The sequence below is a fragment of the Homo sapiens genome, chromosome 8 (assembly GCF_000001405.40).
Source record: "Homo sapiens chromosome 8, GRCh38.p14 Primary Assembly".
In the NCBI taxonomy this organism is placed as follows: Eukaryota; Metazoa; Chordata; class Mammalia; order Primates; family Hominidae; genus Homo; species Homo sapiens.
This window is the reverse complement of record NC_000008.11, coordinates 65,670,582-65,686,080: the sequence shown is the minus strand read 5'-3', so window position 1 is coordinate 65,686,080 and position 15,499 is coordinate 65,670,582. Positions and strand designations below refer to the sequence as shown.

The 15,499-nt window shown below is 40.7% G+C and overlaps 1 protein-coding gene across 30 annotated transcripts in view, besides 1 other annotated feature; it reads right to left on the bottom strand.

Annotated features, from left to right (window-relative positions):
* Nucleotides 1-15,499, bottom strand: part of MTFR1 (mitochondrial fission regulator 1) — a 134,710-nt gene that overhangs the window by 92,518 nt on the left and 26,693 nt on the right. For 24 of the 30 annotated variants that reach the window (NR_182100.1, NR_182103.1, XM_006716484.3 and 21 more), the window contains one exon: nucleotides 3,630-3,728. The exons of 1 other annotated variant lie outside the window; for it this stretch is intronic. Coding sequence is in view for 25 of the 29 variants with exons in the window: in XM_006716484.3 (XP_006716547.2) it covers nucleotides 3,630-3,728 (99 nt within the window). In the remaining 4 variants the exon portion in view is untranslated. Of the gene's footprint in view, nucleotides 1-3,136; nucleotides 3,310-3,629; nucleotides 3,729-4,000; nucleotides 4,038-15,499 lie in introns of those variants that run through there. 5 more of the 30 variants (NR_182102.1, NM_001413079.1, XM_011517628.3 and 2 more) reach the window with 3 other exon arrangements.
* Nucleotides 30-230: a silencer, noted in NCBI's record as "peak7054 fragment used in MPRA reporter construct". NCBI's record gives its function as "represses an SCP1 promoter by STARR-seq MPRAs in K562 erythroleukemia cells {active_cell/tissue: K562}" and the evidence as "EXISTENCE:reporter gene assay evidence [ECO:0000049][PMID:32103011]".

Sequence of the window (15,499 nt, the reverse complement as noted above, 5' to 3'; positions counted from 1 at the left end):
TCTTCAGACAGCTCAGATGTTCAAAGATCACTATACCATACTACTACGTCTCCCACTTTAATAGTTCCTGACTGACTGGAACCTTCTCTTGGTTCCTCAATTTCTATCTGGCCTTAGGATCTCTACACATGCTATTCTGTCTGCACACAATGACTCCCTCAACCTCTACTTGTCTCCTCAACCCTGTAGAGCAGGCTCTTTGTAATCCTTAATTGTCATTCCTTTAGAGAGACCTTCCCTGAGAACTCCTGATCTTCTCCCCCATGCTATACTACTTCATACTATATGGCATTTATTACAAATGATAATTATACCTTTATTAGCATATTGACTTTTTAAATATCTCTCCCACTGAATCATATAACCAATAAGGGCAGACATACATGCTGTTTCATTCACCACTCAATACCAACACCTAGCATAAAATATGAATTTCAGGTTTACTTGCTATATAAAGATGTGCCATAACAAATGGCCATTTTACTTCCAGATTTAATCACCATGTGTGAGCTTTAATTGGAATCTCATTCATTACTTTTTTGGTTACTAAACAGTCCTTTTCCACCACCAATTCCAAAAACCACTCCTTGCAGTCCAAGAAAATAGCTTGGGTTAGGTTTACCAGAGAGAAAAATGTGAAATTACCCAATAGAGTTGGTATTCAAACTACTATAACCACACAGCCAAGTTCCCAACCCAGGTTATTCTGAATTGACTGTATGACTGTCCTGTTCTCAGTTTAATCCACTTCACCTTGGATATGGTCTCAGTATAATGATGTCCACTTGCCCTGTGCCCCATACTAGACTCTCAGTCTCAGACTTTCAATAATAATATTTACCCACATTGGACTCCAGATAGCCTGGATATATTCCACATCAGTTAGCCCCTAAATGAGCTACAAAAATAGGGGAAAAAAATGCATTTTCAATTTTCTTACTCAAAACTGCCTCCTGTATACATTTTGAAGACTACATCTTTTATATTTCTGATAAACAAAGAAGCAGTGGAGATACAGAAGGATGATAGCATATGTAAAACATTTAAGTAGCAGACAAAATGCTTTTTATTTTTTTGAGACAGAGTTTCACTCTTATTGCCCAGGCTGGAGTGCATTGGCACGATCTCGGCTCACAGCAACCTCCAACTCCCAGGTTCAAGCCATTCTCCTGCCTCAGCCTCCTGAGTAGCTGGGATTACAGGCGCCTGCCACCATGCCCAGCTAATTTTGTATTTTTAGTAGACATGGGGTTTCTCCATGTTGGCCGGGCTGGTCTCGAACTCCCAACCTCAGGTGATCCACCCACCTCAGCCTCCCAAAGTGCTGGGATTGTAGGTGTTGGCCACAAGACAAAACACTTTAACACCGATGTTGAATTTTAAAAGACTCAGTATGGGCCAGGTGCGGTGGCTCACGCCTGTAATCCCAGCACTTTGGGAGCCTGAGGCGGATGGATCACCTGTGGTTGGGAGTTCGAGACCAACCTGGCCAACACGGAGAAACCCCATCTCTATTAAAAATACAAAATTAGCCAGGCTTGGTGGCACATGCCTGTAATCCCAGCTACTCGGGAGGCTGAGGCAGGAGAACTGCTTGAAGCTGGGAGGCAGAGGTTGCAGTGAGCCGAGATTGTGCCATTGCACTCCAGCCTAGGCAACAAGAGCGAAACTCAGTCTCAAAAAAAAAAAAAGACTCAATATAACTGGAAATACAAATCTATAACTATAAACAAATGGCTTCCGTCTCTCACTACATTCTCAAGTAGGTCATCAATGTTTCTCGTACCTTACTCTTCTCCTTATGTTAATCCATTTTTTTCAAATGCAGTTAAAATTAGTTAAATCTAATACTCTTTTTCTGCTCATACCCTTTTAAAAGACTGATAACATCGAGAAAAAGAATTCTCCCAAGTAAATGTACTTGACTCTAGTACTTCAGTCCATTGACTGTCAAGGCAGACCTGGGGGTTGCAATCAGAAAACGTTAGATATCTCTACGTCTCTAGCTATATGAATGCAAACGCTGAAGCACATTTTCCTGGAACTAGGAGGGAGGTAAGATAGTTAACCAGAAAGACATTGATGGAATTGAACAATCAGAAAAAAGTTTATAAAACTTAGTTAACATAATAGCTATTTGAAGGAAACTGGCAAATAAGAGCAGTTCATGTCTAAATGAATTGAATTCTTGGAAAGTACTTGAGAGACTTACTACCACAGATTTCTTCATTTTGATTATTAAAAAGAAAAAAAGGCAGCCGGGTGCAGTGGCTCACGCCTGTAATCCCAGCACTTAGGGAGGCAGAGATGCGCAGATCACCTGAGATCACAGGGCAAGACTCTGTCTCCAAAAAAAAAAGAAAAAGAAACAGATTTCACCTCCATTTACCAGGAGGAGTGATTTAAGAACATGACATGTTATCAAACGGGTACACATGGGCACTTCTGAATTTCTAAATGATGAGTTAAATACATCTTCCACATCTCCACATGTTAATCTATTATTTAAAAGTGGCAGAGATATCTGTTGAATTTTATATTATTCAATGTTGAACTGAAATGTTCTTACATTATGGTTGTAAAGAATTGCTAAAAAAAAGAACAAAGTTATGTGATAAATGTCTAATACTATAATAACAATAAGAAAACAAGGCCAGGCACAGTGGCTCACACCTGTAATCCCAGCACTTTGGAAGGCCGAAACAGGCAGATCACAAGGTCAAGAGATCAAGACCATCCTGGCCAACATGGTGAAACCCCATCTCTACTAAAAACACAAAAATTAGCTGGCCGTGGTGGTGTGCACCTGTAGTCCCAGCTACTTGGAAGGCTGAGGCAGGAGAAGTGCTTGAACCTAGGAGGCAGAGATTGCAGTGAGCTGAGATCCTGCCACTGCACTCCAGCCTGGCAACAGGCAAGATTCCATCTCAAAAAAAAAAAAAAAAAAAGAAAGAAAGAAACAAAAGTACAAATCAAGGAAAATAGCAATATCTCCAAGCAAAGAGTAGAGTTGCTCCAGATTTGGTGCTAAAAGAGAATACTGTACTAAGACCTTCAAAAGTTCTAAGACTAAGACTTTCAAAAGTTCTCCTGATTCACGGTTTGACTATCACCTCACTGCGAAAACCACAATTACCTTTTTGTCTTGACACTGTCATTGCCAAGGCAATGGATCCTATAATTAATGCTGATCTTGAAACCAATGACGGAAAGCAACTTATATGGCATCCACAGAGATCTAAAAATAAAGCAGGGGAACAGAGTGGCTATCCAAAGAGGAAGGTATAATTACAGAAGAAAAATAATGGTGGTACATGAAGCACCTGGAATAATATAAAGCCTATGTTTGAGGTCACCTAGGAATTAACAACTGCTTAGCTTATTATATGCTCCTAAATCTTCACATATGCATCCTTAAGAAGGATAAATATCTTAAAAATCTCAATCACGTCACAGAGAAACTAAAATTAGAAAGGCTTTACTGTGGTTTTTAATCCTCTTCTATTGTATTGATAGTGGCATCAATTGGTGAAAAGTCTCAAAAACAAAATGCTTTTAAAACCATCTTGCCTATTTATATTTCTAATGTACATATTAATAAAATACTTAAAATATATAAAATATAATACCTGAAACTGAACTCTTGGACACTGAATCAGAGACAAATTAGTACCAATTTTCCTTACGATACTTCGAGACGAACCATATGGCTTCCTAGACCAAAGTACCTGAGGAAGTAGGAAAAACCGAAAGCTTAATTACAAGATGTACAGAACTGTTAAGACAAAGCATTAGACAATTATTTGTATGACATACTAACACATTAATTACAGGATCAGAATGCTCTAAATGTTATGGCAAATAAGCTAATGTTTCTCAATCCAAAAATAAAGAATATATAGATAGATAGAGAGATAGATATTATTAATTCAATAAAGTTTAATGTAAAGTATTATATAAAAATATAAACTAGCCAGTAATTTTTAAATACTATACTTACAGTAAAAATTTTATTTTCATCAGGTTTTCATACTATTCTGCAACAGAAACACTATTTTATCTCTTCTGCTATATTTTTAGTTTTAGAATTTTGATATACATAGTTTTTATTAAATGTATGTTACTTTTGCTGTTACACACTTTTCAAAACAATCCCAAATTAGTACAAAGTTCAGAATCTGAATGTGTACCATGCAGGGTGCTCCATGTTGTTTGCTGCACAAGAATGCTTGGCCAAGGGTGAGCAAAGGCTGAAATCCAGGCATATTGCTCTTGGGAGGCCTGCTCCCCAAAGGAAAGGTAAGAAATTTCATCTGAGCAGAATTTCTCAGATGAAATCATAATAAAACAGGACATTATGCTATGCTTAAAGACAAAAACAAACCCTCAAAGCAAAAAAAAAAAAAAAACAAAAACAACAAAAAGCACATGTGTTGAATGTTAGGTAAATCATTATAAATTGTACCTTGAAACTTCTCCCCAAGTATATGACCCCTCTTTAAAGGAAAAACTATTCATCTGTTTTGAGTGCTACACTTGAAAGCCTGGACAGAATAAGTAAAGAAAGGTAGTATGCTATTAAAAGCAATTTTAAAAGAAAAGAGTAAGAATTATATGACTATTATACTTAATTCATCAAACTTTAACATTCAGTTATGTAAGGCCAGGTGCGGCGGCTCCTGCCTGTAATCCCAGCACTTTGGGACACCAAAATGGGCGGATCACCTGAGGCCAGGAGTTCAAGACCAGCCTGGCCAACATGGCAAAACCCCATCTCTACTAAAAATACAAAAATTAGCCAGGCATGGTGGTGCACACCTGTAATCCCAGCTACTTGGGAGGCTGAGGCATGAGAACTGCTTGAACCCAGGCCGGGCGCGGTGGCTCACGCCTGTAATCCCAGCACTTTGGGAGGCCGAGGCGGGTGGATCATGAGGTCAGGAGATCGAGACCATCCTGGCTAACAAGGTGAAACCCCGTCTCTACTAAAAATACAAAAAATTAGCCGGGCACGGTGGCGGGCGCCTGTAGTCCCAGCTACTCGGGAGGCTGAGGCAGGAGAATGGCGTGAACCCGGGAGGCGGAGCTTGCAGTGAGCCGAGATTGCGCCACTGCAGTCCGCAGTCCGGCCTGGGCGACAGAGCGAGACTCCGTCTCAAAAAAAAAAAAAAAAAAAAAAAAGAGAACTGCTTGAACCCAGGAAGCGGAGGTTGCAGTGAGCCAAGATGGCACCACTGCACTCCAGCCTGGGTGACAAAGCGAGACCTTGTCTCAAAAATAAAACAAAATAAAAACTCAAAAAACAATTATATTCTAAAGACTAAAAAGAACCAAATCAGCTGAGTATGAATTCTGGAGAAATGGATACTACCACTTTTTTAAGATCAATCCGTGATCATTCTACTTTAAAGAATGAAATTACCCCAATATAAACAAACAGCATAACCAAACAACGGTTCACTGTAAACAGTGGAGGCTCCAAAACCTAACTCAAACTAGACCCTTAGATAAAAGCATATACAACTTATAAAATGAGCACAGAAACTATCTGATTTCTTAAATTTTAGCAATCAAGTCCAATTCAAGGATAACAGTATGAGTCAGTGTGGGGTTCAGGGCTGGGCACAGTAGCTAACATCTGTAATCTCAGTGCTTTGGGAGGCTGAGGTAGGAGGATCATTTGTGGCCAGAAGTTTGAGACCAGCCTGGGGTCTTTTTGTGAGACCGCCATCTCTACAAAAAATTGGAAACTTAGCCAGGGGTGGTGATGCATGCTGTCATCCTAGCTACAGGAGAGTCTAAAGCAGGAAGGTCCCTTGAGCCCAGGAGTTCCAGGCTGCAGTGAGTTAGGATTGCACCACTGCACTCCAGCCTAAGCAACAGAGTGAGACCATGTCCCCCCGCCCCCCAACCCCTGAGAAAAAAACCAACAAAGTGGAAATCATAGAAGGATATATAATACCCCTGGCACCTGCCATAGCTTTCATATAATTTTTATCACACATTTTCCAAAGTTTCACTGAATCTTACCTAGAAGAGTTCCAAAAAGTACTTATAACCTATACTGACTCCAATAACCAACAAAAATGATAGCTCTTGCTTCGGAAATGTAAATAAAAAGGATGGCAAAGATTAGAAAACTGGTAAGTAGAAAGGAAGATAAAAATATTAAAATATGAATAGTATACAAAGAATGTTAAGAAGCAAAGTTACTCTGAAGCTTAGAAGAAAACATCATTCACATCAATAATCATACAGGATTATGACACAAGTAGTCTTAATAACGTGAGGACTAAGGGAAAGGAAAACATCTGACTAGAGAAAAATGGGAAGCCTCGCAAGTTCTACAATGTCAACATCAGACTACCCACCAAAAAAAGAACAAACATGGGCAAATAATTCTAAGACAGTATTTAAGCAAACTTTTTACCTTATTACTATTATGTATTTATTTTTGAGATGGAGTTTCACTCTTTCGCCCAGGCTGGAGTGAAGTGGAGCAATCTCGGCTCCCTGCAACCTCTGCCCCCTCCAGGTTCAAGTGATTCTCCTGCTTCAGCCTCTTGAGTAGCTGAGATTACTGTAGCTGGGATTACAAGTGAATGCCACCATGCCTGGCTAATTTTTTTGTATTTTTAGTAGAGACGGGGTTTCACCATGTTGGCCAGGCTGGTCCCGAACTCTTGACCTCAAGTGATCCACCTGTCTTAGCCTCCCAAACTCCTAGGATTACAGGCGTGCACCACCGCACATGGCCCTACCTTATACATTTTAATAGATCCTGTTCTTTTACAAATAAATCCATAGGGCAAAAGTAAGTATACCATTCAGTCATTTCTCTTCTTGAGTCTTCTATTTAGTCACAAGTCAAAATTCTCCTATGATGTAGTACAAGTGGAATGCTATTTGTGCATTACAACGTGACAATTAGACAGTCTAAAGTGAATCTTTCTCCCCTCCAGCAAGCAAAGGTCTTGTCTGGAGATGAAGAGGACAAAAAGCTCACAAAGAAAAATTTAGAAAGGATTTGCCAAGGTCAGGAACTATGTTTCTGCCTGCTTTTAGCATTCTTCACTACGCATGTTGCAGGGTGAAATGTCAACTATTATGTTTCCATCTGTTTAATATCAGAAAAATACTAGGTGCCTTCAACAAGAGAAGTGGCCAATGATTCAGCTTTTTTTTTTAAATTTTTTTAGATGGAGTCTCGCTCTGTCACCCAGGCTGGAGTGCAGTGGTGCGATCTCGGCTCACTGAAACTTCCATCTCCTGGGTTACAGCAATTCTATCTAGCTAGAATTATAGGCAGGTGCCACCATGCCCAGCTAATTTTTGTATTTTTAGTAGAGACGGGGTTTCACGATGTTGGCCAGGCTGGTTTCGAACTCCTGACCTCAGGTGATCTAATCGTCTCGGCCTCCCAAAGTGCTGGGATTACAGGCATGAGCCACAACGCCCAGCCGATTCAGCTTTTAATTATAAGGAATAAGTAGATTATTTAGGTATCTTCTACAAAGTTAAAGGAAGGAAAAGAACAGATTGCTTTATGTGATTATTTTTTCAAGCATACACAGTAGACTAACATAATGTGTTCTTCTGTTACTTGTGAATTACATAGTACTTAGCACCAATAAATATCAAATAAGGGTCTGTGTAAACTAATGACTGAAATATTTAGAATGAAGAGCCATAACCTTTATTGGATGGTAGGAAAAAGTGAGGGGAAAGAATAGCTAATTTCCAGGAACTCTAAAACTAGGTCTGACTACTTTTCTATTTTTTTCTATTCAGCCCTCATAGAGGGGGAGAAATTGTAAATGGCTGTACAGAAACAGTGAACAGATGGTACTGAAAAGTCACCATCTGTGCATTGGGAGGCTGTATGACCCAAGTGCATCTCCTACCGTAACTTGTGGCTGAACTATGTCTTGTCAGTATGCTAGTTTAGAGAAGGAAAGACTTCCTCTAAAGACAAACTGTCATTAATATTTCTTTAGATGAAAGAGAGAAGGCAGGGAGAAGAAAATGGTCATAAAATAATCCAATTTCTTTTTTTTTTTTTTTTTGAGACAGAGTCTCCCTCTGTTGCCAGGCTGGAGTGCAGTGGCATGATCTCAGCTCACTGCAACCTCTGCCTCCCAGGTTCAAGCAATTCTCCTGCCTCAGCCTCTCCAGTAGTTGGGACTACAGGCACGTGCCACCACACCTGGCTTATTTTTGTATTTTTAGTAGAGACGGGGTTTCACCATGTTGGCCAGGATGGTCTCGATCTCTTGACCTCATGATCCACCCACCTCAGCCTCCCAAAGTGCTGGGATTACAGGCGTGAGCCACCAAGCCTGGCAAGATAATCCAATTTCATTTAGAAAATAAGACAATCCAATGCCATTAAGAAATAGCTGGCTGGGCGTGGTGGCTCACGCCTGTAATCCCAGCATTTTGGGAGACCGAGGTGGGCGGGTCACGAGCTCAGGAGTTCAAGACCAGCCTGGGTAACACGGTGAAACCCTGTCTCTACTAAAAATACAAAATTAGCCAGGTGTGGTGGTGCACGCCTGTAATCCCAGCTACTCAGGAGGCTAAGGCAGGAGAATAGCTTAAACCTGGGAGGCAGAGGTTGCCGTGAGCTGACATCGTGCCACTGCACTCCTGCCTGGGACAGAGCAAGACTCCGTCTCAAAAAAAAAAAAAAAAAAGAAACAGCTAAACAGGGCCAGGCGCAGTGGTTCATGCCTGTAATCCCAGCACTTTGGAAGGCCGAGGCGGGTGGATCATCTGAGGTCAGGAGTTCGAGACCAGCCTGGCCAATGTGGCGAAACCCCGTCTCTACTAAAATATAAAAACTTAGCCAGGCGTGGTGGCACACGCCTGTAGTCCCAGCTACTCAGGAGGCTTGAGGCAGAATTGCTTGAACCGGGAGGTGGAGGTTGCAGTGAGCAAGATCGCGCCACTGCACTCCATCCTGGGTGACAGAGCGAGACTCTGTCTCAAAAAAAAAAAAAAAAAAAAAAAGAGAGAAATAGCTAAACAGAAAAACCATGCTTTATCTATGAAAACTGCTTTTTTAAATAATCTAACAGTGAATCTGTGTGTGTGTGTGCGCGCACATGCATGTCTGTGTCTAGTAATGACAGTCCATAACATTTAGCAACAGTGTTTGAAAGTGATGACAGCAAGGAGGAGGATGACAACAGGAAAGTAGTTTGTTCTTTTTTAACATTGTGAAATGCTATTGTAGAAAGTGTTGACGTGTGAGGCTGGAATCTGAAGCTGTCATCTGTCTCATCCATGATGACTGCACTCAAGCTGTATGTGGTAATTCATTTATTATAGACTAGTTTTACATACATTATTATTTGAGGGCAACTTTTAGCAGGAAAAACTATAAATTTAACTCTAAGAAAAATATGTTTTTCTGGCTGGGTGTGGTGGCTCACGCCTGTAATCCCAGCACTTTGGGAGGCTGAAGAGGGTGGATCACTTGAGGTCAGGAGTTCGAGACCAGCCTGGCCAACATGGTGAAACCCTGTCTTTACTAAAAATACAAAAATTAGCCAGGGGTGATGGCGGGCACCTGTAATCCCAGCTACTCAGGAGGCTGAGGCAGGAGAATCACTTGAATCCGGGAGGCAGAGGCTACAGTGAGCCAAGAATGCGCCACTGCACTCCAGCCTGGGACACAACAAGATTTCGTCTCAAAGAACAAACAAAAATAAATAAAATATATTTTTCAAGACAAGCTATGTGATATTAATGCATTAATGCAGAGGTTCATGTATCCCTAAAATTACACACAAAATTGTGTATGTGTTACTTTTCTGGGAAGAGCATCCATACTGTTAATCAGATCTTTAAAAAGTTAGGACCCAACAAAATGTAAATTCTTAATTCTCAGGGAGCTAAGGGAAAATTAAAAGTGTGTGTTGGGAAGGGGGAAGGAGTGAAAATGGGAAGATGAAATTCTGTAACAATTTTTAAATCCTTAACCAAAGATTAACACTTCCCTCAGTTCTCTTCTTCCTTACTCACATTCCTCCTCCAAAGCACCAAAAGAAAACCAGAGTACAATAATACAAATTATTATAGATACTTGCTATAGTAACTTTTCTTCCAATATAAAATACTGAAATTAATCAGAATCACATTAGCTTCACACTATTCTCACTTCCTGCAATTTAAAAAACATTTTTGCTTAGGGACATAAAAAGTTTGGAGATATGTGAGCATGTAGTTTTAAATTCAAACAAATGTTGAGGGAAAATAAAAGACAGTAAAGAGAAAACAGGCCATTATAGCATATAGGCCTGGCTTTAAAATTAGCCTCTACGAATTTACTGCCTGTATAAAGCTGGCCAAATTATTCACCCCTCTATGCTTCTGTTTTCTCACCTATAAAATGGAGATATTATCTGCTTCATGAGCCTATGAGCATTAAATGAGTTAAGGTATTTATAATGGTTTTGTTGTTGTTTGTTTGTTTTTTTGAGACGGAGTCTTGCTGTTGCCCAGGCTGGAGTGCAGTGGCGTGATCTTGGCTCACTGCAAGCTCTGCCTCCCAGGTTCACGCCATTCTCCTGCCTCAGCCTCCTGAATAGCTGGGACTACAGGTGCCCACCACCTCGCCCAGCTAATTTTTTATATTTATTTTTAGTAGAGATGGGGTTTCACCGTGTTAGCCAGGATGGTCTCGATCTCCTGACCTCGTGATCCACCCGCCTCGGCCTCCCAAAGTGCTGGGATTACAGGCGTAAGCCACCGCGCCCGGCCTTTTTGTTTTGTTTTGTTTTTGAGACGGAGTCTTGCTCTGTCGCCCAGGCTGGAGTGCAGTGGCGTGATCTCGGCTCACTGCAACCTGTGCCTCCCGAGTTCAAACCGGATTCTCCTGCCTCAGCCTCCCGAGTAGCGGGGACTACGGGCATGCGCTACCATGCCCAATTAATTTTTATACTTTTAGTAGAGACAGGGTTTCACTATGTTGGTCAGGCTGGTCTCGAACTGCTAACCTTAGGTGATCTGCCTGCCTAAGCCTCCCAAAGTGCTGGAATTACAGGTGTGAGCTACTGCACCAGGCCATATATAATGCTTTTAATAAACATTAACAGTCATCTTTCCCTTCTAAGGGTAGCAAAGTACACTGAAAAGAGAAAGGATTTTGGAATCAGAATTGGGTTCACATTATAGTTCTACTACTTAGGTAACTTTGTTCAAGGCAGTTAAACACTCTGAACCTCAGGTTTCTCATCTGTAAAGTGCATTGTTCTATTGAATATAGGCAATTTATGTAAAAGCACTGGCCACAGTAAGCACTGGCATAGTAAGCCAAGCAGGGATGGCTATTACAGTAATATTAGTGTGCAGAGTCAAAGACAATGAGCCAATCACCACTGGCTGTTCTAATGGGAAAAATGAAACAAAACAAAATCTAATCTAAAAGCTTGCAATTTCTTCTTTTTATTTTTTATTTTTTGGAAGCAGGGTCTCACTCTTATAGTCTACGCTGGAGTGCAGTGGCATGATCTCAGTTGACTGCAATCTCTGCCTCCCAGGGTCAAGTGATCCTCCCACCTCAGCCTACCAAGTAGCTGGGACTACAGGCATACACCACCATGCCCGGCTAATTTTTGTAATTTTTGTAGAGATCGTGTCTCACTGTATTATCCAGGCTGGCTTCAAACTCCTGAACTCCAGTGATCCTCCCACCTTAGCCTCCCAAAGTGCTGGGATTACAGGCATGAACCACCGTGCCAGCCTTTTTTTCTTTAAAAAAAAAAAAAAAAGATAAAATAAAGGATGAAGGTAGTTTTCACTCTTGGAATGCTTTAAAGCACAGTATCAAATTCATTTAAAAGGACGGACGCAGTGGCTCACGCCTGTAATCCCAGAACTTTGGGAGGCCAACGTGGGTGGATCACCTGAGGTCAGGCGTTCAAGACCAGCCTGGCCAACATGGTGAAACCCCATCCCTACTAAAGATACAAAATTAGCTGGGAATGCATTTCACTTTCCTGCAATTCAGAGATATTGTTCTTTTTACAAATTTAAGGTTTGTGGCAACCTTGTGTCAAGCCAAGTCTACTGACGCCATTTCTCCAACAGCATGTGCTCACTTCATGTCTGTGTCATGTTTTGATGATTCACACAATATTTCAAACTTATGCATTACTATTTTTTTTTTGAGACGGGGTCTTGCTCTGTTGCCCAGGCTGGAGTGCAGTGGCACAATCTCGGCTCACTGCAAACTCCGCCTCCTGGGTTCAAGCGATTCTCCTGCCTCAGCCTCCTGAGTAGCTGGGACTACAGGCAGGCACCCACCATCATGCCTGGTTGATTTTTGTATTTTTAGTAGAGATGGGGTTTCACCATATTGGCCAGGCTGGTCTTGAACTCCTGACCTTGTGATCCACCCGCCTCGGCCTCCCAAAGTGCTGGGATTACAGGTGTGAGCCACGATGCCTGGCCTATTTTTTTTTTTTTTAATTATACTTTAAGTTCTGGGATACATGTGCAGAACGTGCAGGTTTGTTAAATAGGTATACATGTGCCATGGTGGTTTGCTGCACCCATCAACCCGTCATCCAGGTTTTAAGCCCCACATGCATCAGGACAACGCATGCATTGTCCTAATGCTCCCCCTTCCCTTGCCCCCCACCCCTCTACAGGCCAGGCCCTGACTTATGCATTCTTATTATATCTATTATGGTGATCATGATCAGTGGTGATCTTTGACGTTATTTGTTACTACTTTAATTGTTTTGGGGTGCCATGAACCAAGCACATGTAAGATGGCAAACTTAATCGATAAATGTTATGTGTTTTTTGACTGTTCCACCCACCAGCTATTCCGCAATCTCAGACCTCCCTATTCTGAGTCAAAACAACACTGGAATTAGGCCAGTTTAACGCTACAATGATCTCCAAGTGTTCAAGTGAAAAGAAGCACTGCATGTCTCTCACTTTAAATCAAAAGTTAGAAAGTATTAAGCTTAGTGAAGAAGGCATGTTCAAAGTCCAGACAGGCTGAAAACTAGGTCTCTGGCCCAAATAGTTAGCCAAGTTGTGAATGCAAAGGAAAAGTTCTTGAAGGAAATTTAAAGTGCTACTACAGTGAACACATGAATGATAAGAAAGCAAGAAGGCCTTATTTCTGACATAGAGAAAATAAATATCAAACCAGCCACAACATTCCCTTAAGCCAAAGCCTAATCCAGAGCAAGGTTCTAATTCTCTTCAATTCTGTGAAGGCTGAGAGAAGCAAGGAAGCTACAAAAGAAAAGTTGAAGCTAGCAGAAGTTGGTTAATGAGGCATAAGGAAAAAAGCCATCTCTATAACATAAAAGTGCAAGATGAAGAAGCATCAAGTGCTAACATGGTGAAACCCCATCTCTACTAAAAATATTAAAAAATTAGCCTGGTGTGATGGCACACACCTGTAATCTCAGCTACTTGGGAGGCTGAGGCAGGAGAATCACCTGAACCCAGAAGGCAGAGGTTACAATGAGCCAAGACTGCGCCACTGTACTCCAGCCTGGGCAACAGAGTGAGACTGTCTCAAAGAAAAAAAAAAAGTGATTCACTGTATTTCACTATCACTTTATTGTGGTGATCTGAAATGAAATTCATAGTATCTCCAAGCTATGCCTGTATATATCAGATCAATGGGAAAATACATGTTAATCACTGAAAGGTAGAGCTAAGAAAGCTTCTTTTATTTTCTGGTGCCCAAATATAAAATCTTGAAAGATTCCTTTGTATTTTTATTCTTAGGCAACAAGCTAAAAAATACTGGAAATTAGTTAACCCCAAAAGATCACATTGCTTTATGTTAGAAGAAAATTTGGTTTTATATGAATTTTCAGCTAACTGATTAAAGTTTACGATTATATGCTAGCTTCAATAAGTTAAAAATAGATCTTGCTAATCCACCATTAGTAGGAAGGACTCTCAGTTGTAATTACAATATTTTGAGCAAGTTAATCCTCCTTTAGCTGGTCCATTCTTTGATGAACGGCACCCACTTTCCAGCTTAAAGTGAACAAGCTAAATAAAGCGTGCTATCTGTGCCTGAAACAGAATTCTGCACTTTGGCCTCAATTAGCACTACTCATATTGACCTGTCTTGGGGTGGGAGGCTGGTAACAGCAAAAATCTAAGAAACTATTATTGAATGTATCTACACTGTACAAGCCACTGTGCTAGATGCTTTACATACTCTGTCATTTAATCCACAGGTAACAATTCTTATAGCAGTAGCAATTCTTACAGCTACTTTGCAGACGAAGGCAATAACTGACAGAGACAAATTTCAGATTCAAGTGTGTTTAAATCCAGGACCCACAATCTTACCATTAAACTATACTTCTTACTAAAATTACAATAAATAGAAATTATAAAGCTTTGGTTTTTGGAAATCATAAATAACAAAAACTTCCCTTCCTTGTGCAAGCAAGAGAAAAAGAAACTTTTGCTGTCATTACTAAAATGTCAATCCACACTATGATAAAACTGAGCTAAGTGAAGTTCTTTTTTTTTTTTTTTTTTTTAAAGATAGGGTCTTGCTCTATTCTATTGCTCAGGCTGGAGTACAGTGGCACAATCTCAGCTTACTGCAACCTCTGCCTGTCAGGCTCAAGCAATCCTCCCACCTCAGCCTCCCGAATAGCTGGGACTAGAGGTACGTGTCACCATGCCCAGCTAAATTTTTTAAATTTTTTGTAGAGATAGGGTCTCACTATATTGCCCAGGATGGTCTCGAATTCCTAGGCTCCAGCCATCCTCCTGCCTCTGTCTCCCAAAGTGCTGGGATTACAGGCCTGAGCACTGCGACTGGCCACTAAGTGAAATTTAAAACATAGCAACATATATCTGAAAGATATGAAAATACCAATAAATTTACAAGTCATTTTCCTATTGCTTATCCTCAAGCTAATAATCTCAAAATTATGCAGCTATAAACAAAGATAATTTTATTTGGTTCTCTACTTTTTAATCTCCGAAGAAAACAGATGTAACCTTGGAAGTTGGGGAGATTCAAAGTTCAGGCACAAAAACAAAAAAGTAAAAGTGCACTAAAAAGTATACCCATATTCTGCCAGGCACAGTGGTCCACGTCTATAATCCCAGCACTCTGGGAGGCCAGGGTGGGCAGTCAGGGGTTCAAGACCAGCCTGGCCAACATAGTGGAACCCCATCTCTACTAAAAAATACAAAAATTAGCTGGCCGTGGTGGTGTGAGCCTGTAATCCCAGCTACTCGGGGAGCTGAGGCAGGAGAATTGTTTGAACCTGGGAGGCAGAGGTTGCAGTGAGCCGAGATTGCTCCACTGTACTCCAGCCTGGGCAATACAGCAAGACTCCCTGTTCAAAAAAAAAAAAAAGTATACCCACATTCAAATTATGTAACCTGCCTGTATCTTCAATAAATAAAATTTAATTCTATGTCATAGCCATGAAAAAAAATGAATTTCAAAATGTAAAACAAAATATTCTACAAAATGTACTTG